The following is a 24,912-nucleotide window of genomic DNA, read 5'->3' as shown; positions in this document are numbered from 1 at the left end:
CAAACACAAGCCGAGTTCATCTTTTAGCCCATCTCCTCCCAAGCAGTAGACATGTGAGTGGAAAAGCCATCTTGGAAGCGGGCCCTCCCAGCCATCAAATCATCCCAACAGAGGCTACAGACATAATGAGGCAAAGGCCCACCCACTCAGTTCCCCTTTCAAATTCCTCACCATGAAATTTATGAGCATAATACGGTGATTGTCCTTCAAAACCACTAAGTTTTGGGGTGGTTTGTTAATAGAACAGTAGATAACGGGAACACCTTGAATATGTTTTTCTATGCTTTTATTTTTCCAGTGTTTTATGTATTTTTGTTTTGTGTCTCTTAGAAATAACAGCTACTCGGGAGGCTGAACCCAGGAAGTTCAAGTGAGAATCACTTGAACACAGGAGAATCACTTGAACCCAGGAGGCGGAGGTTGCAGTGAGCCGAGCTCGCACCATTGCACTCCAGCCTGGGCGACAGAGCGAGACTCCGTCTCAAAAGAAAAAAAAGAAAGAAAGAAAGAACATGGGTTTTTTTCCCCCAATCTGAGAGTCTCAGAATCAAATTCCTGAGGAGGAAGTGAAAACCTTTCACAGTTAGTATGTATGCACAGTAAAGCCCGAAACCGCACATTAAGTCTTTCTGCCTTTAGACCCACATCTTCCCTGCCCATTCTTCCTCTAGGAAATCTGGCGCCCAGTTTTCTCTGCGTAGTTGGCGCGGGGCTTCAACTCCCGGCGCTCCTCCAGCTACTGGCACCTCCCTGGCCTCCAAGACGTCTACCAGACCTGCGTCTGCCCGGGGAAACTTTGAAGTTCCCTTCGGAACCTCGCAGGCTGACAAGCAAGTCAGAGCGATGGGTGGAGGAGGTTGCCATGGAGACAGGTCCAGGGCCAGAGGCGCGGGAGGGGGAGGCGGCAGCTTGGGCTCCGATTGGCTCTGCGGGCGCGCAGCGTTCCTCTGGCGCACATGCGCAGTGACGCCGAGGCGAGGTCGCGGCTAAGCAGAGGCGCCGGGGTTTCTGGGCCGGGCTTCTCAGGACCGGGCTGGAACGTGCAGCTCCTGGCCGGGACACTCTGTGCTTTGCGGGGAAGGGAAGTGGCGGAGCCCGAGGATCCGCTGCCGCTCGGGACTGAGCCCGCCACGCAGGCGCCTGTGCCAGCGTCGCCATTGTTGCCTGTGGCCTTAGGGCCGCTCCGGCTGCCCGTCGGCCGGGTCCCAGCGACAGGTATTGATGTCCGGGCGCAGCGCGCGAGTGTCCGCGCGATCAGTGACAGCCCGAGCCCGTCCACGCGCGGGCTCCCGTGCTCGTGGCTTGCGGGAGGGCAAAGACGGGGTGGAGGCTGCTGTGGGCCCAGTCCCAGCGTTGCGCGTCGCACGGTCCCCGACTCCCCCGCTGCCCTCGACCTCGACCCTGCGGCTGAAGAGGAGTAAGAGGCAGAGGGACTTGGCCGGGAAGGGGAGGCGACAGGAGGCAAGGCAAGGCTGTCGCATCACCTCCGCAGGGCCTTGTAAACAGTTGTCTTTGGTGGCACGACTGTGCCTCAGCAGGGCTCGGAGCTGGAGCCTGGGGAGAGGTGGTGTCGGTTCTCCTCCAGATCAGGCCGGTTCTAAGGTTTCCTTCGAGAATCCTGGTTTCGAATATATCCCTAAAGAACTGTCTCCTATAGAAGCACTTAAAGGACTTGAAGTCACACCAACCTCTTCACTCTTTTCCAGTCCAACCCGCTGGTCTTCCCAACCCTCTGATAGTGAAAGGCTAGAATCGGCTGGCATTAACATGCAACGCAGATAAATGGCTCGCCCTTTCCCCTGACAGTTCCCTTGGGAACCTTGAGCACTGTATTAAGAAGAAATTCTCCTAGTTTCTTCCAAGTAACAGATTCACTTTGTTATTGTTGAGAGTCCGTTCAGTCATTACAGCTTCTGTAACATCAGTGACTAAAATAATGAAACTATTTTCTCTATAAAAATGTTTAATTTTTGTTACAACAGGTTAGAGGTTTAATCTGTTGTTTGGCTTAGATTCGAGTCATTGCCTCTGACACTACCTTTTTAATAGCAGCTCCATCCCCCACCAACCCCAAGCAGATGGCAGTTCCCTTACAAGTCTAAGGATATAGGGGAGGAAGACAAGGTAAAGCTTATGTGTGTTCATCTATGCACACTGCGAGTCTGTTTCTGTGTGTGTATATGTATAGTAGAGTACACCAGGGATTCTTGACCTTGTGGTCCATGCTTGTGTTTCAGGGTCTCTTATCCATCCCTGCAAGTTCTGGGCTCAGAATTTGTCACTAAGGCTGCTAACTCTACCTTGATTCTGTTCTGCCCTCGGCTGCAGCAGCCTTTGATATAGTGTCCTTGTGACTCTAGCATGAGACTTCAAGCAGTTGGCTCACTACTGGAGAAATAAAGGATATTGCCAGATTGACTCTCCTGTCTGTAGCAATGTTAGCCTCAAGCAAGAGGATGAACAGTTCTTCACGTTCTCAAATCCTTCTAAGGTGGAAGTCAGACAAGGCTCAGAGTGGACCCTACAATGTTGAGAAGGAAATCCTTACTTCAAGATTCTTGCGTGACACTGAGACCTGTCGACAGAATTTTAGGAATTTTCCATACCCAGACCTGGCTGGTCCTCGAAAGGCATTGAGTCAACTCCGAGAGCTCTGCCTTAAGTGGCTGAGACCTGAGATTCACTCAAAGGAACAAATTTTGGAGCTGCTGGTGCTGGAGCAATTCCTGACCATCCTGCCTGGTGAGGTTAGGACTTGGGTAAAGTCCCAGTATCCAGAGAGCAGCGAGGAAGCAGTGACTCTGGTGGAGGATTTGACTCAGATTCTAGAAGAGGAAGGTGAGAATCATAGAGCAGAGAGGGGAGGAATCCCTGGGTGGTTAAAGAAGACAACTAGCACATCTGAGCAGCTCCTTTAAAGAAATCAGGGAGAGCACTGAGAGGTCCAGGATGCATTTTTTAAAAAGAAAGAAACTGGGGAGAACAAAGGTTAGTGAGTGAGAACAAGGCTTTAACATGAGCTCCATCCTGCATGGTGTTCTCCTTCCAGATTGCTTGGGAGCAAACACACATTATCTAAACCCCCAAGAAAAACGTCTTGAAATAATGACCAGACGCAACCAAATTACCACTGTGTGAGCCCTCAGAAAGTACCTTCAGAGGTTTGCACCATTCTACTAATAAATCATTTGCTTTGTGAATTGAATTTTACAATAAAATACTTCCAAAAAAGGAAGAAAGGGTCTAGAGAACATTCCCTTATTAAGAGATAACTCACAAAATTAATATCACATAAGGATTTAGTTAAAATGTGAATTTTGTTCATACTCTTTAAGATTTTTAGAGCGAGCTTGTTTTTGAAGTCTGTTTTGATGTCTTAGGACAAGTCATTGGCCCTTTCCTCTGATGCTTTGAAGTAGGAGTGCTGTTTTTGATTTCCTTCTTACTTCTCGATTTAAGAAAGTGTAGGCATCTATTTGGTGAGGGGTTTCCTAGGCTATTCAGAAAGGACTAATCTCCCTCATGACCTCTTTCTCTTCTCTAGCTCCTCAAAACTCTACCCTTTCCCAAGATACCCCAGAGGAAGACCCCAGAGGAAAACATGCTTTCCAGACAGGATGGCTAAATGACTTGGTGACCAAAGTGAGTGTGACTGTCTTTTCTGATTTTAAAATGCCTTCTTAGTGTGTGAGGACATTTTCTGACCTGGCCCTATAACTACTGTGCCCCCAGAAGCTCTATCAAGGACTTAAGCCCCAGTTTCTCTCCTATGTTATCTTGGTCTGTTAAGGTAGGTGAATGTACTATAAAGAAAAGGTGCTTCCATTGCCTTCCCTTGATATGTCTTTCCTTACTTTGACTTTGTCAGCAATATCACATAGAGAATACGAGATTGACCTCCACAGCCAGATGGATTTAGGTTTTGTTTCCCGGCTCTACCATTGGAACTGCAATTTGGGACAAGATACTTAACCTCTCTTAGCCTGAGTTATTCTACTCTCATAAATAGAATTTACCTCTTAGGTTGTGAGTATTAAATATTATGAGACTTGTAGTTAGCCTGGATTACAGTTAAGCAATTAATAGATGATTGTTACTATTATTTTTCCTCATTAACAAGTAGTTAAAGGCCATGCATTCTGTCATATTACTGTTGGTCATGAATTTATATATATTTTTTGAGACAGAGTCGCACTCTGTTGCCCAGGCTGGAGTGCAGTGGTGCGATCTTGGTCCACGGCAGCCTCCACCTCCTGGGTTCAAGTGATTCTCATGCCACAGCCTCTGGAGTAGCTGGGGTTACAGGTGCATGCCACCATGCCTGGCTAATTTTTGTATTTTTAGTAGAGACAGGGTTTCGCCATGTTGCTCATGCTGGTCTTGAACTCCTGACCTCAGGTGATCCACCCGTGTTGGCCTCCCAAAGTGCTGGGATTACATGTGTGAGCCACCGCGCCCGGCCATGAGTCTATATTATTTTAAAGAATAGTAACTCAAGATACCTTAAGAGAAAGATTTACTGTAAAAATATAACTGGTTTTTCTGAAATTGGAAAGCTTTTGGTAACCAAGTTAAAATGATTATTCATTGATAGTGTGAACATTTACCTGGAAAGCCTAACAAAATCAAGGGAAAAAGTGTTAGAAACACTAATAGAAAAATTGGATAAAATGACTACAGAAAATGACATGCAAAAATCAATCACTTACATATATATACTTATATATATATCTACATATATACATATAAAAATGAGATAAATGATAAAATGAAAAAAATGCCTCCAGTATCACACCCCCGAAAAAAATTTAAAATATCTAAAACTAAGCATAATATAAATATTGCAGTACTTTCATGTCTAATATTTTGTAGAACATGAAAGAAACCTTGAATATTATAAAGTCATCAGTTCTCCCTAAGTTATAAACTTAATACAATTTTTAAATCCCAGTATGATTTAAAAGAAAAGATTTTTTAAGAGATGGGATCTCACTATGTGCCCAGGCTGGTCTTAAACTTCTGGCCTCAAAGTGATCCTCCTGCCTTGGCTTCCCAAAGTGCTGGGATTACAGGTATGAGCCACTGCGCCTGGCCTCCAATATGACTTTTTTAAAGATACTGACAATTATATGAAAAAATAAACACGTGGCCAGGCGCAGTGGCTCACACCTGTCATCCTATCACTTTGGGAGGCCAAGGCAGCTGCATCACCTGAGGTCAGGAGTTTGGAGACCAGCCTGGCCAACATGGCAAAACCCTGTCTCTACTAAAAATACAAAAATTAGCTGGGCATGGTGGCGTGCACCTGTAATCCCAGCTACTCAGGAGGCCACTGCACTCCAGCCTGGGCGACAGAGCAAGACTCTTTCTCAAATAAAAAAAGAGAAAAAAGAAACATGTAAGATAATACTATATTTTTAACAAAAGGAGCAAACAAGAAAAGCACTAACCTTACCAGATTGTGAAATGTATTTAACAGTGCAGCAGTTCAACACTGTGATTATTGGTATCTGTTATATTTTTAAAAAGAAAGACTGAATTTAACCATAGAACACATAAAAATATCTTAACATTTTAATTATAACATGTTGGATTTATTCTTAAAGCACAGCTTGAAAAGCAAAACCATTCAACTGTGTCATCTGTGTTTAAAATTTAAAACTCAAGTCAGGCCTGGTGGATCACTCCTGTAATCCCAACACTTTGGGGAGCTGAGGTGAAGGATCGCTTGAGTTCAGGAGTTTGAGACCAGCCTGGGTGGCATAGCAAAACCCCATCTCTACAAAAAAAAATTAAAAATTAGCCAGATGTGGTGGTGTGTGCCTGTAGTCCTAGCTACTCAGGAGGGTGAGGTGAGAGGATCACTTCTGCCCAGGAGTTTGAGGCTGCAGTGAACAATGATTGTACCATCGCACTCCAGTCCAGGTGACCAGGCAAGACCCTGTCTCTTTTAAAAATAATGATAATAAACCTTTTCCTTTTAAAAATGGAGCTGCCAGCAATGCATGCACTAGTCCAGCACAGGCAACAGAGCGAGACTCTGTCTCTTTTAAAAATAGTAATGATAAACCTTTTCTGTTTAAAATGGAGCTGCCACCAATGCATGCATGAGTGCTAAGTGAAAATAAATTCTGATCTATTTTCAAACTTCCGTTTAGGGTCATGGAGAGATGCTGTAGGGCTGTCCATATGTCAGGGGAGGGTTTTGACTAGACAACTTCTAGGATCCTACTAAAGCTTAAAATTCTGTGACAGTCCCCCACCATACATATACCCAGTGTTATCAGTGTCCCCTTTGCCATTAGTTCTTGAACTGAGTTAAGTTACATTTGATATTTTAGGAATCGATGACATTCAAAGATGTGGCTGTAGACATCACCCAGGAGGACTGGGAGTTAATGCGTCCTGTGCAGAAGGAATTATACAAGACTGTGACGTTACAGAACTATTGGAACATGGTTTCTCTGGGTAAGGATCATCTGCATCCCTCCTCCTCCGAGCCTGTTCCCATTAAAAATGGGTTGGTCCTCAGACATGCTTGGCTAAAAATGGGGTCCAGAAATAAATGTTCTTATCTCATTCAAGCACGAAAGTGACTGTTTTACTCCCGTTTTCCAAATGAAAGGTTCTTAAGTGAGAGAACATTGGCAACTGATGCACAGCTTCATAGTGCTGCCACCTGATGCTGCCTTGCCCAGCCTTTGCTACTCTAAGGGAATGTTTCTTCCTTCACATATCCTCTTCAGTGGCAGGAAATTGTTATCCTGTCTCTGAAAGGATAACAATCAACAGCCTAATTCTCTTATTAGATCATGTCCATGAACTATTGTTTTCCTACAGAGGTCTGTTCTCCCAGATAGGTAGAAGTCTGGTAATAAAACTTTGAGCAACCATTTATCTCCAGGATAAAATTCTTTATATTCCTCCTGAACAGGACTTACAGTGTACAGACCAACTGTGATTCCCATATTGGAAGAACCATGGATGGTGATAAAAGAAATTTTAGAAGGCCCTAGTCCAGGTGAGAAACAAAAAGCGCATGAGCTTCTTTGTATTTAAGAATCTATATCCTAAATGTGGTGAGAAATGCATTTTAAATATGACCAGGTCACTTTTTGCAAAGGCATTCTAGCCTGTGAAGAACACTGAGCTGTTTGGCATTGCTTCCTTACAGAGGCCTCTTCAGGAAGAGCTTCCTAACATCACTGTTAACACACTTTTCCCGTGTCTCTTCTCATTTTATCCTTCTACATGACCTCTAGGTCCCATCTCTTAAGAGCTTTGTCTAGGGCTTTCATTGTGCCACTTTCCCCTTCCTCTAGATTTAAACATGTATGAATGCCCCCTAAAAATTTAAATGTTAAACCTTCTTCTTTTTGAGTTTCTTTTATTCTGTTCACTGACAAATCCCTACATCCCCCTGCCTTCACTTTTCTAAATCATCCCTTTCTTTTTTATTTTCTAATTATTTAAAAAGATAATATATTCACAAGATTCAAAATGTTTAAAAGTATATAAAGCAAAAAAAATATATAAATATATATAAATGTCCACCTGAATACCACATTCACCCAGTTCCTACATCTCCCCAGCATGTGACCGCTGTCATAACAGCATGTCAATGAACCACTGTTTTCCTGTAGAAGTCTGTAATAAAGTTCCACATAAGTAGAAGTCAGGTAATAAAGTTTGAACAACTGTTGTCTCCAGGATAAAAGCGTGGCAATAAACAGTTATTTGAGATGTTTATTTTGCTTTGGGTTTTTTGCATATAAAGTCAATATAAAAATAGTTTTTGTCCATTTTTAATGTGAATGGTAGCATACAATACATACTGTTTTGTACCTTGCTTTTTTAACTTAAAAGTATATCTTGAAAAGCCTTCCAAATGAGTATGTAAAGAGCTTCCTCATTTCTTTTTTTATATCTGCATCATATTTTTATTATTGAACTTGTTCCTTATTCATGGACTTTTTCATTCTCATTCCTTGCTTATTCCTCCACAATAACTTGATTTTAAAAGATTTTAAACCTACACAGGCACATTACATTCATCACTTATGTACTGTCTACTGGGAATCACTAATTATCATCATTTAGCCACTTCTGCTATATCTCTATACAAAGGTTTTTGCACTGAGCCGTTTTACAGTTAGTTATAGACATCAAGACAACCCCTAAATACCTCCTAAGAACGTGAACATTCTTCTACATAAGCATGATACCATTCTCTCACTCTAGATAATTAACATTTATATAATAGTGTCATCAAATGTATAGTCAAATATTCAGATTTTCCCAACTGTCCTAAAAACATCCTTTATAGATATTTTTCTCCCCAGTACAGAATCCAGTCAGGAATCACGTGTTCTACTTGCATGTCTCCTATCTTTAGTCCCTTTTAACAGAGAAATGTTGCCCAGCCTTTTTTCTTTTTTAAAAAAAGTCTTTCATGATATTGACATTTTTTAAAGGTTCCAAGCCAGTTTTTTTAATGACCTACAGTTTAGATTTGCCTCATTGTTTCCTAAAGATTAGTCAGTTTAAACATTTTGCCAAGGATATTTGAAAGGTGATGTGTATCTTCCATTGCATTTCTTCAGGAGGTACATAATGGTAATTCATCTCATCATTGGTGATGCTCAGTTTGGTTAAGGTGGTGTGTACAGGATCTGTCCTTTTTAAAGGTGCATTCTTTGTGATTAATAAGTCATCTGTGGAGTGATACTTTGAGGTCACATGACTATTCCTTGATAATCTTTTACTTAAAATTTTTAGCATCCATTTGATGATCTTTGCGTTATTATATTGCTGGTTGCAAAATGGTGATTTTCTTTTTTGTTGTTGTTTTTGAGATGGAGTTTCACTCTTGTCGCCCAGGGTGGAGTGCAGTGGCGTGATCTCCTCTCACTGCAACCTCTGCCTCCTGAGTTCAAGCAATTCTCCTGCCTCAGCTTCCACAGTAGCTGGGATTAGAGGCATGTGCCACCACACCCGGCTAGTTTTTGTATTTTTAGTAGAGACGGTGTCACCATGTTGGCCAGGCTGGTCTCAAACTCCTGACCTCAGGTGATCCACCCGCCTTGGCCTCCCAAAGTGCTGAGATTACAGGCGTGAGCCACCGTGCCCAGCTGCAAAATGGTGATTTTCTTTCTTTTTTTTTTGAGACGGAGTCTCGGTCTGTTGCTCAGGTTGGAGTGCAGTGGGGGGACCTTGGCTCACTACAAGCTCCACCTTCCACGTTCACGCCATTCTCCTGCCTCAGCCTCCCAAGTAGCTGGGACGACAGGCACCCGCCACTACACCCAGCTAATTTTTTGTATTTTTAGTAGAGACGGGGTTTCACCATGTTAACCAAGATGGTCTCAATCTCCTGACCTTGTGATCCACCCGCCTCGGCCTCCCAAAGTGCTGGGATTACAGGTGTGAGCCACCACGCCCAGCCAAAATGGTGATTTTCTAATGCAGTCATCTTTTCTAAATGATTAATACCATTCTTCATTAAAGAATAGCCCTTTCAGCCGGGTACGGTGGCTCGCGCTTGTAATCCCAGCACTTTGGGAGGCCAAGGTGGGCGGATCACGAAGTCAGGAGTTCAAGACCAGCCTGGCCAACACAGTGAAACTCTGTCTCTACTGAAAATACAAAAATTAGCTGGGCGTGGTGGTGGGTGCCTGTAATCCCAGCTACTCGGGAGGCTGAGGCAGGAGAATCACTTGAACCCGGGAGGCGGGGGTTGCAGTGAGCCAAGATTGTGCCACTGCACTCCAGCCTGGGCAACAGAGCTAGACTCCACCTCAAAAAAAAAAGAAGAGCTCTCCCTCCCCCACCCCATATATATATATATATATATATACACCACTGTTGACTAATGGAAATTTTAAAAATTCAATATATTATTAGTCGGCCAGGCATGGTGGCTTACTCCTGTAATCCCAGCACTTTAGGAGGCCAAGGTAGGTGGATCACTTGAGGTCGGGAGTTTGAGACCAGCCTGTCCAACATGGTAAAACCCTGTCTCTACTAAAAATAATAATAATACAAAAATTAGCTGGGTGTGGTGGCACGTGCCTGTAGTCCTAGCTACTTGGGAGGCTGAGGCAGAAGAATCGCTTGAACTCGGGAGGTGGAGATTGCAGTGAGCCAAGGTTGTGCCACTGCACTCCAGCCTGGGCAACAGAGAAAGACTCCATCTCAGAAAAAAGAAAAATATATATATATATATGGATGTGTATGTATTTATTATCAGTCCATTAATTCCAGTTTTTACATTTTATTTTGTGTTTTTGATGCTCAATTGTCCCAAATTTGGGCACTCTAGCATCAAACAAAAGTCCAGCATCTTTTTGACATGTCCCAATTTGTCTTCAACCATTTCCTTGCTTTCTGGCACAGCCAGATGTTCTTTAGGCTCACCTTATGCTCACCTTAGACTTGGGATTTCTCTAAGGAACCCTGATTCATTTTAGTAGGGAATGGTACTTAGAAACCAAGATCTGGGCCATAAGCGTATTCACTGTTTATGGGTATCATTGCTTCTGTTCAGTGGATAGAGCTAGGAAGTGTGTGTGTGTGTGTGTGTGTGTGTGTGTGTTAGTTCTTTTAAGTCAGGAGTTCATACTTAAACTCCAATTCAAATCTGACACCACAAGGATATTCCATTTTTTATATTCCCATATTCCATTTTGTATCTCCTTTCTTATACAGTGAATAACCTGGTTTCCAACAACATCAGTATATTTACTTATTTGCTATATCATATGTTACACACAAAAATAGTTTCACATTCACATTAGTATAACAAACAGTCTAGAAAGTTCAAGATTTCTTTGAAGTCCTTTTTGTCCTTAGAATATATACCACTAAGGATAGTGTTTTTTTGCTTTTTAAAATTATTTTTAATTTACATTTTTGAGTATGCAAAAACAGTAACATGGCTGAGAACTCAAAAACTATATAGAAAGGTATACATTTCCTTTCCTTCTGCTCTCTTCCCACCTACTCCCTATAGGTAACCATGATCATTGGTTTCTGATGTATCCTTCCCATGTTTCTCTTTGCAAAAATAAATTATTAATATATTATCTTCTTTTGTATATGAAAGAAGTATACTATGTATATTCTTGCATCTTGCTTTTATTCCATTTTTTATTTTATTTTATTATTTTATTTTATTTTATTGCTGTTGTTGAGACAGAGTCTCACTCTGTCACCCAAGCTGGAGTGCAATGGTGTGATCATGGCTCACTGCAACCTCCATCTCCTGCATTCAAGTGATCCTTCCTCCTCAGCCTCCTGAGTAGGTAGGACTACAGGTGTGTGCCACCACGCCCAGATAATTTTTGTATTTTTTGCAGAGGCAGGGTCTTGCCATGTTTCCCAGACTGGTCTCAATTTCTGGGCTCAAGTGATCCACCTGCCTTGGCCTCCAGTGCTGAGACTACAGGTGTGAGCCATAGCACCCAGACATTCCATTTTTTAAATCTAAGACACTGACTTCTTGTATGTCCACCAATATGGATGCTAGTATACAACAATGAATTAAACAATAATGACAAATATGATATGGCCAGGCACAGTGGCTCACACCTGTAACCCCAGCACTTTGAGAGGCTGAGGCAGGCAGATCACTTGAACTCAGGAATTTGAGACCACCCTGGGCAACATAGTGAGACCTGTCTCTACTAAAAAAATTTTTTTTAATTAACTGGTTGTGGTGATGCATGACTGTAGTCCCAGCTACCAGGGAGGCTGAAGTGAGAGGATAACTTGATCCCGGGAGAGCAAGGCTGCAGTGAGCCAAGATCACACCACTGCACTCCCACTGGGTGACAGAGTAAGACTGTCTCAAAGAAAAAAAAAAAGATATGCTACCTTAGAGTGAATTGTTTCACTTTTTTAAAAAACTAACTTTGGTCATTAGGTATTTTAAGGGTCATAAACTTTAAAAGCTAATTCTTCTCTATAATTTATGGCCTTATATGCCTTAGTTGGCAAAATACAAAATACACCTACAGCACACTAAATTCTCTGGGGAACAAATTCTGCACACTCTAGGCACTGAGAAAACATACATAGTGTAATGGAAATAAGCCTGGATTAGAGCCAGGATAGTCTTCTGGGAGATACTTGCAGTCTGAAGTCACTTTAACTTCTCAACATGAGGAGTTTTTTAGATCATCAGAGAGCACAAATTTGGGCTCTGAATACTCAAGAAAGGGCAATGTATAGTTATGCATTTGGAGAGGGGGGATTTTTCTCCCTCCAAAGAGCACCAAGACTGAGAAAGACAGTTCCTTTTTTCATCTTTTAGAGGTGAGGTTTTGGGGTTTTGTTTTTCTAGCCTAGCCTGTTCTTACATAGTGTGTAGTCCTCTGTTCAAGGGACTCCTGTCAGCCTCCTCTCCTTGGCTGGGCCCCAGCCTTTGTCTTCTAGCCCCAGAGTCCCTTGTACCCTCAAAATGGAAGTTTAAGGTCATCAAACATGATTGAGGAGCTGTCTCAGGCAGTCAACTTCAACTATTACTGACTTCTTGCCTTCCTGCTTGTACTTAATTTTTGGCCTGTGAGGATTTTGCTTTCTTGCCAGCTCAGAGATATAGTAAGTTGAATCTACCTTTGGTTAGGGTACTTCAGGAAGTAGGTTAGTCACACTTCAGGAAATGGAAACTTTGGTAATTAACAAACAGAATAGTAGTATTGGTTTGATGGCCATTACTGTCTCAGATCTTTTATAGTTCTTTATTATATTTTATGGTTTATTGTTCTTTATACAGTACTTTGCCATTCTTTGAGGTTCAATTCAAATCACACTTCCTCCACTGAAGCTTTCCTTGATTACCTGAGTCAACATTAATCTCCTCTGTTTAGAAATATTATACCACTGTTTGTCCTTATTAACCAACAGATAACACTTCTAACCAATCCTTTCTGGTTTTAGTGATAAACACATATTTAAACCCTGCTTAATGATCTGTTTCAGAAGTTTTAGTAAACTAATTTGTTTAAAATGTGCGTTTATCGGTCGGGTGCAGTAGCTCATGCCTGTAATCTCAGCACTTTGGGAGGCTGAGGCGGGCGATCACCTGAGGTCAGGAGTTCGAGACCAGCCTGACCAACATGGAGAAACCCTGTCTCTACTAAAAATACAAAATTAGCCAGGCGTGGTGGCACATGCCTGTAATCTCAGCTACTCGGGAGGCTGAGGCAAGAGAATCGCTTGAACTTGGGAGGCAGACGTTGTGGTGAGCCGAGATCGCGCCATTGCACTCCAGCCTGGGCAACAAAAGCGAAACTCCATCTCAAAAAAAAAAAAAGTGCTTTTATAGTAGCAATTTATTCATGATCACTATTCAGCCTTGTCACTTTAAGTTTGTTAATTATAACTTTAGTACTTTTCAGTTGTATGTACAATCTGTCATAGACTGATACTGATTGCATAGAAGTTGAACTCAACTTCTGGTATCATCTCATCTCTTTTTTGTGTATATACACACCTACTTGTATAGTCCATCCACATTCTCATTTTCTTCTGGGGAGGGGAATAACAAATCCTAGCTTGAGAAAGTTGGTTTATAAATTTTTTTCTTTCATAAAAGTAATATAACTATTTTCTATTTTTCTTTTTTATTACTTTTTATTTTGCTACACCTACTGGAGTGGAATATAACTACTTACTAGTACTAAATAGCAACAAAAGTAATATAGCAAATTTACTGAAAATTAGAAACCAGAAAACTTATAATATCATTATTAGCATTTTGGTAATCTTTTTCCACTTCTGATGTGTTTTCATGCTTGTTATGATACTCTTTTTTCATTTAACATTACTCCTAAACATTTTCTTAGGTAAACTGTGATTTTGTATTTGAATAAAAGTAAAAAAAGTAATTTGTAAATTCAAGGAGTACAAGGAAGCAAATATTAAGTGTCCCTCTCCCCTCAGTCATGACCAGGACCTTCTCCCCTTAGATTTTGTGTGTGTGTGTGTGTGTGTGTGTGTCTGTGTCTGTCTGTAACACAAATAGCATATCTTTACACAGCTAGGATCTTGCTCTACATTTTTTTATACACCTGCTTTTTTTTTCACTTAATGTGTCCTGCCACTAGTCCTTAAACTAGACCTACCTATCAGTTATCAATATTCTGTTATCCCTTATTCTATTAATAACTAGTCTCTTACTGATGATGTAGCTGTCATTTTCAATTACTGCATATTACTCAATTGAATGGATATATTTGTAAAGGTATTATACTATGATCTGCCTCTTAGAAAGTTTCTGAAGTATTTAGTACCATTTTTGCTATATTATAAATTCCATATTTGATTAAATTACATTATGTAATTCTTGATATTTGCAAGTTATATGTTTCCCACCTGGTTTCAAAGGAGAAAGAGGTTGTAACTTAAATTTTGTGTTAAGTAATTATACGAGAAACGTAATAATAGGCACCAACAAATACATATTTGGCTGCCTTATTACAGCCAGGTTAGATTGAGGGTCAACCTTTTTGGTTTGGTTTGGGGTGTGTGTGTGTGTGTGTGTGTGTGTGTGTGTGTGTGTGTTTGGTTATGTGTATGCATGCACATCTGTGTATGCTTTCATCTGAGTTCTCCTTTTTAAATGTTAATGTCATTTATTTTACCATTTCAGTTGAGTCGCCACCATATCCAGAGTCTTGGGCCATTTTCTAAACGAAATGTGAAAGAAGGATAAGCTATTTCCAGAATTTGCATCTAGGTTGGAAATATAAGAAATGTACAGAATTGTGAATTACAGTCATGTGCTGCATAATGATGTTTTGGTCAACAACAAACTGCATGTATGACAGTGGTCCCATAAGACAACAATGGAGCATATATAGAAGCCTGATGCATAAGCACTTAATATTTGTATTGCAGATCAAGTAGGGGAAGTGATTGATATCAGTAATAGTGCTGGTACATTTAGCTTTCCATATTTAAAAAAGGAAAAAAATATATATACATATATATCATCTAGGTTCATATAAGTATACTCTATGATGCTCACACAATGATGAAGTCGACCAACACCACATTTCTCAGAACGTATCCTCATTGTTAAGAAATCCATGACTGTACTCATATAAAGCCAAATTCTGTCATGAGCCCAATACTATATTGGGTTGAACCATATAAGGTTGCTGACATTCAGCCATTTTGACCTATAAAAAAAGGCAATTTCCTACATAATTCAACCTAATCTGTGTTTTATTTTATTTTTTTGGAGACAGGATCTTGCTCTGTCATCCAGGCTAGAGTGCAGTGGGGCGATCATGGCTCACTGCAACCTCCGCCTACTGGGTTCAAGCAATTCTCATGCCTCAGCCTCCCAGGTAGCTGGGACTACAGGTGCACACCACCACATCTGTCTAAATTTTTATATTTTTAGTAGAGACAGCGTTTTGCCATGATGGCCAGGCTGCTCTCAAACTCCTGACCTGAAGTGATCCACCCACCTTGGCCTCCCAAAGTGCTGGGATTACAGGAGTAAGCCACAGAGCTTGGCCTCTAATCTGTATTTTAAATTCAAAGAAGCATTGTAGAGAGAAATATGAGCTGGACTATAAACATCTTTTTTAATAGGTGGAGAAGGCATCGTAAAAGAAGGCCTAGAGTCTAGGATTAGCATGGCATCTAGAGAAGATTATGAAGAAGTAGTGGATAACTTTAGGCCAGGTGTGGCGGCTCATATCTGTAACCCTAACACTTTGAGAGGCTGAGGCAGGCGGATCACCTGAGGCCAGGAGTTTGAGGCCAGCCTGGCCAACATGGTGAAACCATGTCTCTATTAAAAATAGAAATATTAGCTGGGCATGGTGGTTCCTGCCTGTAATCCCAGTTACTCGGGAGTCTGAGGCACAAGAATCACTTGAACCTGGGAGGCAGAGGTTGCAGTGAGCCAAGATGGCACAGAGTCTGTCTCAAAAAAAAAAAAAAAAAAGTAGTGGATAACTAAATTAAGCTGAACATGAGTTGTAGTAGGAGACAATAGAATAGAAAGGGCTGAATTATTTTGGGACTGAGTGCCAAGTGGAGGTATTTTAAACTTTTTAACTTTTATACTTTAAGCCACTAGTCCTTAAACTTTGGTATGTAGCAAAACTGCTGGGTTTAATAAAACAGATTACTCAGCTCTACTGCCAGAGTTTCTGATTCAGTATGTCCAGGTGAGACCCAATAATGTTAACACATTTCTAGATGATAGTGATGCTTATGCTGCTATTGGGAGGACTGCCTTGAGAACCATTGTTTTAGGCCATGGGAGATTTACTAGAGATATTTGAGCATAGAAAGCACTCAGTGAAATTGCTTTAGGAATATTATGTGGGATTGTGTGGAGCAGATTGGAAGAGAGAGTGATGAGAGTCAGCATGTCTACTTTATGAACACATTACATAAATTAATCCATGAGGCCATCCCAAGTTATCCCACACAGTGTTATCACTGTTTTGACTTCTCTTAGCTCTGTCACCTGACTTAATCTGTTTTATTCCCTCTGTGTCCATGTTGAATATGAAGAACCTGTCTGTTTTCAACAACTTAGTCTCCCTTTTTTTGCCCTCTTTGTCTCCTTTCCCAAGTTTTAAAGACCATGATGATGAGGTTTTCAGAGCTGTTGTCTTTGGGCATTTTATCTATGTTTATTCTTTTGTTTCTATTTTGGCAGTTTCCTTTCTCCAAATAAATGAAGATTTTTTAATATATTTTTTATTTCAGAATGGGAAACTAAAGCCCAAGCATGTACTCCAGTGGAGGATATGTCTAAACTCACAAAGGAAGAAACCCATACCATCAAATTAGAAGACTCATATGACTACGATGATAGACTAGAGAGGCGAGGAAAAGGTGGCTTCTGGAAAATTCACACTGATGAAAGAGGTTTCAGTTTGAAGTCAGTCCTTTCACAAGAATATGATCCTACAGAAGAATGTCTTAGTAAATATGATATATATAGAAATAATTTTGAAAAGCATTCAAACCTAATTGTACAGTTTGATACCCAATTAGATAATAAAACTTCTGTGTATAATGAAGGCAGGGCAACCTTCAATCATGTCTCATATGGTATTGTACATAGGAAAATACTTCCTGGAGAGAAGCCTTACAAGTGTAATGTGTGTGGGAAAAAATTTAGGAAATACCCATCCCTCCTGAAACACCAAAGTACCCATGCCAAAGAGAAATCGTATGAATGTGAAGAATGTGGGAAAGAGTTTAGGCATATCTCATCCCTTATTGCACATCAGAGAATGCACACTGGAGAAAAACCATATGAATGCCACCAGTGTGGTAAAGCCTTCAGCCAGCGTGCACACCTTACTATACATCAGAGAATTCATACTGGAGAGAAACCCTATAAGTGTGATGACTGTGGGAAAGACTTCAGTCAGCGTGCACACCTTACCATCCATCAAAGGACACATACTGGAGAGAAACCATATAAATGCTTGGAATGTGGTAAAACCTTCAGTCATAGTTCATCACTGATTAATCATCAGAGAGTTCATACTGGAGAAAAACCTTATATATGCAATGAATGTGGGAAGACTTTCAGTCAGAGTACACACCTTCTTCAGCATCAAAAAATACATACTGGGAAGAAACCATATAAATGCAATGAATGTTGGAAAGTGTTTAGTCAGAGTACTTACCTTATTCGACATCAGAGAATTCATTCTGGAGAGAAGTGTTATAAATGTAATGAATGTGGAAAAGCCTTTGCTCATTCCTCAACCCTTATTCAACATCAAACCACTCACACTGGAGAGAAATCCTATATATGTAATATATGTGGGAAAGCCTTCAGCCAGAGTGCAAATCTTACTCAACATCATAGAACACATACTGGAGAGAAACCATATAAATGCAGTGTGTGTGGGAAAGCATTCAGCCAGAGTGTGCACCTTACTCAACATCAGAGGATTCATAATGGAGAAAAACCCTTTAAATGCAATATATGTGGGAAAGCATATAGACAAGGCGCAAATCTTACTCAGCATCAAAGGATTCATACTGGAGAAAAACCCTATAAATGTAATGAATGTGGGAAAGCTTTCATTTATTCCTCATCACTTAATCAACATCAGAGAACTCATACTGGAGAGAGACCCTATAAATGTAATGAATGTGATAAGGATTTTAGCCAGAGAACATGCCTTATTCAACACCAGAGAATTCACACAGGAGAGAAACCCTATGCATGTCGTATATGTGGTAAAACCTTCACCCAGAGTACAAACCTTATTCAGCATCAACGTGTTCATACAGGTGCCAAACATCGTAATTAATGGATAAGGGAAACTTCAATTCGGTTTTACAACTTTGTTTCAATTTTGTTTTGTGCATTCTATGTGTCAGAACATTCAGAAGAAGTCTGAAGAAGTGCAATATGTTAGATACTCAGCAGAAGTATCAGAAGTAGTGGTATGGATATAACCTATTTAGATTTAATGTGAAATTTAAGAAGGAAACTTGACTTCTTAACCTTAATTTGATATGATTTTAATTCATTACAGAAAGAAACCCTGTGAAGGGTATTCAAAAACATAACTCATCAACTCTCTATTTCAAGTACACTTATCCTTTGGTATACTCGGGGGATTGGTTCCAGGACCACCCATGTATACGAAAATCTACCCATACTCAAGTTGCACGGTCAGCCTGGTGGAACCTGTGTATATGAAAAGCCCTACATCTATGCAGGTTTCCCATCCCTGAATAATGTGCTTTCAAACTCTGTTCAGTTGAAAAAAAAAATTCCAGTATAAATGGATCTGTACAGTTCAAATGTGTTGTTCAAGGGTCAACTGTACATCCTAATGAGGCCTTATGAGTGTAACTTAGGAAGGTGTCCATCAAATAGAGATTTCACACTAGAGAGTGATCTTAAAATTACAGAAAAGAGTAAGCTGCTTTCAGGCCTTTTATTCCCAGCTTTGAAGCCTTAAAATATGTAAAGGACTCCCTTCCCTGTTTTACTTCCCCTTCTCCTGTTATGCCATAACTGCCATATGGAGCCAGTAGGTTTGAAAAAAAAACAGTTGGAAGTATCTTAAAGATTTCTATGTGACCACTGGTTACACCTTCCCTCAGATATGGAAATATTAAAGAGAAGCTTAATGAAAGATATGTTATGATAGAAACTAATGTGTATATAACATTAGATGTGTAGAGATTTAGTTAAACAGGCAAAAATTAAATGCCTCAAGCTTAAATGAATTTTCAATACACATTAGCCTTGATTTCACTAGGTTTTGACATTCAAGGTCATCCTGAAGGAAAAAAGTAGGTATAAAGTATACAGTTCCCATTTTTTTCACCTGACTCCTAAATTTATACTTTAGGTTTCTCTGTGACTGTTTTACTATGGAAAGTTCATTTCTTCCACTGAAACACGTTTCTTGAGTGTCTACTATGCTCAGGTCCCAAACTTCCTAATTGGATCCTCTCAAGCTTGTTACAGTGCTGAAAATCACAGGTGGTTTACACAACAGAAAGATTTCTAGAGTGATGAGAAAGTGAGGATGTGATATTTTGTCATGGGTTGAGCATAAGCAACCTGCTAAAATGGGTTGCCAAATGCTACCTATATCCCAAGAGAAGGAAGTGGAAGTGATAGTGTAGCTATATAAATAATGTGAGAAAAAAATGGAAAATAGATCTGAATTCACTGCAGAATGTGGGTCGGGGAAAAGGTGAAATTTTAGTGGAGTGAGGAAAACATACATAGATAATTGCTATAACATGAAATGTAATTGGACTTGCTTTGCCTATGAAATGAGAGTGGCTAAATAAAAAAGAATTCAGCCTGGTTATTAGAAGAAACTAAAAACAAAATGACCGATTTTTAAAGAATAATTGGAAGCCTGACACTCCTTCATACATACAAGTAAAACAGAGATTACTCTTAACATGTCAGGAAAAAATTTAATTGGAAAAAGCATTGATGCAGTAATCATTAAACAATGATAACTGGGTTTGTGGGTCTCAAAAGGAAAACTGGCAGAAATGCAAATAGAAATAGATAAAAATACTATTGTATTTCATATTTACAGCATTCCACTACCAGAATATAAGGCCATATTCTGAGAACTGAGATTTCATTGTGCTCTTACTTGTTTCTCCAGTCCCTTGCATAATAGTGCATGGTCAATACATGGTTGAATTAATGAATAAATTATATAAATTAGATTTCAGTAATAAAGTAGAATTGACTGGCATGGAGTGAAAATTGGTATAACGAAAAATATTTTTGTGCATATATCAAAGAAATGTTCAACAAATAACATTTACTTGGGAACTGCTTAAAAATCGTGAATCAGGTTTCCTGGGACATCTTTGTACAGGAAGTTTTCCTGAGCTAAATGAGGGGAAATTGGTATCAATTCTGGTGCTATAAATATCAATTTAAGCATGTATTAACCATGCAACTTCCTTTGGACATTACTGTTTATAAAACCATCCTACAAACAGGTACTGAAGGAAAGACCCAGGATGCTAGTATCCTAAAGGCTATATTATTGAGTGTTTTCTTTAAAAAACTTGATTTCCATTTCCCTTACATTAGTTAACCTTGATTTCATAGTATCATCCTGCACAAAGTACAGGTTGCAGAATACTCAAACTGTGCTTATATAGCTGTTTTTTAAAATAACAGTTGTTTGAAAATCTTATTTTTTTGATGCTGCTTCATCCCTCACACAGCACTTATTTCCCTTGGTTGAGCATGTGGCATGTGACAGTCCATAGCGCCTTCCTTTGCATTACTCTGTTATTTCCTGCCTTTGTATGTTTTATGTAAATAATGCATTTATAAAGTCTTCCACTGATAAACAGAGGCAATTGATGCCCTTATAAAATAACAGACTAGTAATAGTGGAGAACCCTAGATCTTTGTGTATTTTTCCCACTTTTACAGTTGTCTGACCCGCAAATTATTCAACAGTTTTTAGCAAATAGCCTTATTTTCCAGAACTTTTTATTATGAGTTTTCAAATATATAGAAAGTTTTAAAAATCATAAAATTAACTATATACCCACCTAAATTTAAAAACTAACATTCTGCCGTATTTTTTTTAACCAAACATTGGAAAGTAACTTACAGACATGACATTTCATCTCTAAATACTTCAGCATGCATCTTACAAAAATAAGGATGGTCTTTTACATAACCACAATACATTTACATACCTTTAAAAAAAAAACAAATAGTAATTCCCTAATATCTGAAGACTTAGTCTGTGTTTAAATTTCCTCTGTTGATCCAGTCAGTTTTCACACATAGTATTTGATTATCTGTTTCATCTATCTAGAACAGTCCCCACTTTGGTTTTTCCTTTTTTTTGAGACGGAGTCTCACTCTGTCACCCAGGCCAGAGTGCAGTGGTGCAATCTCGGCTCACTGCAAGGTCCGCCTCCCAGGTTCACGCCATTCTCCTGCCTCAGCCTCCCGAGTAGCTGGGACTACAGACACCCGCCACCACGCCCGGCTAATTTCTTTGTATTTTTTTAGTAGAGATGGGGTTTCACTGTGTTAGCCAGGCTTGTCTCGATATCCTGACCTCGTGATCCACCCGCCTCAGCCTCCCAAAGTACTGGCATTACAGGCGTGAACCACCGCGCCCGGACAGTTTTTCCTCTTTAAGAGAGCAGGTCAGTTGTCTTGAAAAATGTCTCATGTTCAGGATTCAACTGATTATTTACATGTGGGTTGTTCCGGTACCCCCTGTAGTTTCCATAAATTAGAAGTTAGGGCAAAAGGCTTGATTGGGTTGTTTAAACATTTTTAATGATAACACCTCACAGATGTATTTCATAGTGCATCATATCAAAAGTCTCATTAATATCAGGTTGACTCATTATCAATGGATCACTCATTTGAGGTCACCAGATCTTCCCAATATAAAGGTAGTTTTTCCTATTGCAATTAATCTGTGGACTGACACTGGCAGCACATGGATATTTTGATTGCCAACAACTTTTTACCTGGTAAAAAGTAACCAACGGTGATCGTTGCCTGAATCCATTGTCTCATCAATGTTTGCAAAATGACAATTTTCTAATTCTATCACTCTACACTTGTTGAGTGGCATTCTTGTATAATGTTCCCTCATCAACTAGGAATGCACTAGAGGCACAGTCAGCAATTATTTTACCTTAATTACCAGTGTAGGAGTTTAATTACCAGTAAAGAGTTTGATGCTTTCATCTGCAGTGATAACACATGATTCAATGTGTTAAGTCATTTATGATCATTGTTTCTGATGTTCAGATTGTCCCAAATTTGGCCAGGTGGAGCCCTTCAAGTATCTCTTATGTCCTTTTGACATTCACTCTCTAGTCTTTGGACACTTGATTGCCTTCTAACACAAGATATCTCAAGTTGGCCTTGCATTTTCAATGCCCCAGGCCTGGAATGAAACCTTTTTCCAAGAATCCCTGGCTCCTTTTAATAGGTAGCTATTTAGAAACCAAGATCTGGGCACTAGGGATTCTCACTGCTCCCGGAGTGTCACTGGCAATTCTTTCCAACCATTCAAGTTGGTTTTCATAAAGACAACTCTTCACTCATGCCATCAGTTACCTAATATCTGTGTAATGAGGGATATAATTACATAACTGGGATAAACTTTCGGGTGCAAACAACTAAATCTTGTTAAGCATGCACCTAAATTGGAGAGAACACTTCCATGTTATGTATGCTAGAAAGCAGCAAATTAGCTGCAAAAGGCCTGTGACAATGCCATCAGGAAATTTACAAGGGAATAGAACTTGTCAGTTAATCTGCCAAGTGGGTTAAGTAGAGGGCAATTAAGAAAGCAACTAGATGTATACCTAATACGTTGTGTTTTAACTATTATATGTCTATAACTTACGGTGTTTATAAGCTAATAGCCCTCCTTTCCCATCACATCTCTTAAGGCAGATTTCTGGTAAGATCTAAATATTAATCCTAAGGATCTGTTTCATGCAAATCTAAGTACTAGTTTTTCTTACTAAACCTTTATTTGGTCTCTAAAACTTTAAGGCTGTTATGTTTCATTCTTTGTCTTCTGGTGTCAGTTCACTTGCATGTGCCCGAAAATGTATTCTTACTCCTCTGTTTCTGTTCTCCCCATGGCTCTATCTTTCATAATTATTAGCCCCTTAGAACACTATAACCATTAAAAATGGCAAGCATGTGCACTACAGTGATATGTACAAATGCGTGTGTGTAAACAGCATCGAGCCCTGCACTGTGTATGAATGGGGAAAGTGAAGCCCATGATGCTGAAATGTCATGCTTGAGGCCATATGTCATATAATGACAGAATAAGGATTGGAACCGCATAGCTCCAGCACTTAGTTGAGTTCTTCTTGTAAAATAATGTTAAATGGAAATTCTGAGTACAAAGAGTATGTACCTACAATTTTATAGAATTATGTATTTTTATGAGATTAGAGCACTGAAAGTTTTTTAAATCTGTTTTTGTCTTCTTTCCCATAGAGTTTCTTTTTTGTTGTTTGTTTTGTTTTTTGTTTTAAGGAGCAGAGAGTTTAATAGGCAAGAAGGGGCTAGAAGGAAGGGAGAAGGAAGAAAGAAGCAGCTCACCTGTACAGAGACAGGAGAGGGGGCTCCAAAGCCGAAAGAGAAGGTCCCCACCTGCCACGGATACCAGCTAGGTATATATACAGAGGCTGGAGAAGGCAGTGTTTGATTTGCATAGGGCTCAGGGGATTGGTTTGACTAGGCATGTCTTCAAATAGCCAGAGGAAGAGCTGGCCCTCCCACCCATATGCAAATATGGGGCGCCACGATGTTCTACACACGTAGGGATAGGTGGGGGTGGCCATGTTGCCAGGAACATGTGGGGCAAGGGCAAGAAGGCTGTGGGAATTGACATGTTGGGTGGACCCAGTTTCTAATGGCCTGCATTTGCATATCAAAGGTTGATGGCCTGACTGTAAGAGTCGGGGCTTTACAAGAAACTTTTCTGGAGATGCTTTAAAAAACTAAAACTTCCCAAGGACCCCTTTGCCTCTCTGCCTAAAATAATTTCTTAATAACTCCTACCACATTCCTCCCTGTGGTGATATCACACTATCTGCTGTTAGGGGGTTTTGGGCGACGACTCTTTCTGGCTACTTCCTGCTGAAAAGGGGCGTCAAATGGGGAACAGCAGTGAGGGCTCCTCCTAGGGTCAACTTAAGGGTCCTCGGGAGAATGGCGTGTCCATATGTGGTTCAGTTTGCAGTACCATTTGGAGTTTGACTGCTTTGAGGCGAGAAGAAACAGTTCGAGTTATGGTACTGAGTATACAGGGTCCAAATATCAATACAAGACATATAAGCAGGAGAGGGCTTGATAAAGGGGCTGACCAATTCCATAAAGAAGATTGGAATTCATTAAAGAGGGATTGTAGCCATCCAGGGCTGGAGCCGGCATTTTCCCTGAGCCTGTTAATAATTTTGATTTCATTCTTAAGTACCTGTAGATTTTCCTCTACTAGAGGTGTTAATCATTACTAAACCCAATAAAAAGTGCTAGCAGACTCAGTGATAGTAAAACTTTCATGCTTCCTTTTTGTCAGTAACTATTATCCCTGCTATAAGGATAATAATTGAGCAAAATACAACAGCAATGGAAACTCTGTCCAATATGTCAGTTAGAAGGTGCTACCACGTATAACCCTCTTGCAAATAGCAGAGTGAGTATAGCAACTTCCACAAGTGTGATGTAGTAGATAACTTCCATGTAAAATTTTACTTGCCAAGATACAGAATTTTCCTTTGGTGGTCTATGAAGCCTTGGTTTTATTTTCCCAAACAAAAAAAAAAAAAAACCTGAGTTAATGGGCATCATACTCACTTTCATTAACTGGCAGAATTTGCAGGATAATTGCCCAGAAC

The 24,912-nt window shown here is 40.1% G+C and overlaps 1 protein-coding gene across 6 annotated transcripts, besides 2 other annotated features; it reads left to right on the top strand.

Annotated features, from left to right (window-relative positions):
- Positions 899-1,398: an enhancer, noted in NCBI's record as "H3K4me1 hESC enhancer chr17:16472083-16472582 (GRCh37/hg19 assembly coordinates)". NCBI's record gives its function as "activates a minimal SCP1, AML or CMV promoter by ChIP-STARR-seq in naive H9 embryonic stem cells {active_cell/tissue: H9 hESC(naive)}" and the evidence as "EXISTENCE:reporter gene assay evidence [ECO:0000049][PMID:30033119]".
- Positions 955-23,213, top strand: ZNF287 (zinc finger protein 287). 6 transcript variants are annotated; one of them, NM_001346168.2, is made up of 7 exons: positions 963-1,215; positions 2,053-2,124; positions 2,238-2,838; positions 3,545-3,642; positions 6,342-6,468; positions 6,935-7,021; positions 16,741-23,213. In NM_001346168.2, the coding sequence occupies exons 3-7, from the start codon at positions 2,436-2,438 to the stop codon at positions 18,309-18,311; spliced, it is 2,286 nt and encodes a 761-aa protein (NP_001333097.1). In that variant the 5' UTR covers positions 963-1,215; positions 2,053-2,124; positions 2,238-2,435; the 3' UTR covers positions 18,312-23,213. The 6 variants fall into 6 exon arrangements, with proteins under 6 accessions (NP_001333099.1, NP_001333097.1, NP_001333100.1 ...); NM_001346171.2 differs by lacking the exon at positions 2,053-2,124 and having other exon boundaries at positions 2,492-2,838; NM_020653.4 differs by lacking the exon at positions 2,053-2,124.
- Positions 1,399-1,900: an enhancer, noted in NCBI's record as "H3K4me1 hESC enhancer chr17:16471581-16472082 (GRCh37/hg19 assembly coordinates)". NCBI's record gives its function as "activates a minimal SCP1, AML or CMV promoter by ChIP-STARR-seq in naive H9 embryonic stem cells {active_cell/tissue: H9 hESC(naive)}" and the evidence as "EXISTENCE:reporter gene assay evidence [ECO:0000049][PMID:30033119]".

Source organism: Homo sapiens, chromosome 17 (assembly GCF_000001405.40).
Source record: "Homo sapiens chromosome 17, GRCh38.p14 Primary Assembly".
In the NCBI taxonomy this organism is placed as follows: Eukaryota; Metazoa; Chordata; class Mammalia; order Primates; family Hominidae; genus Homo; species Homo sapiens.
The sequence above is the reverse complement of the archived record's forward strand: the minus strand, read 5'-3'. Positions and strand labels throughout refer to the sequence as shown.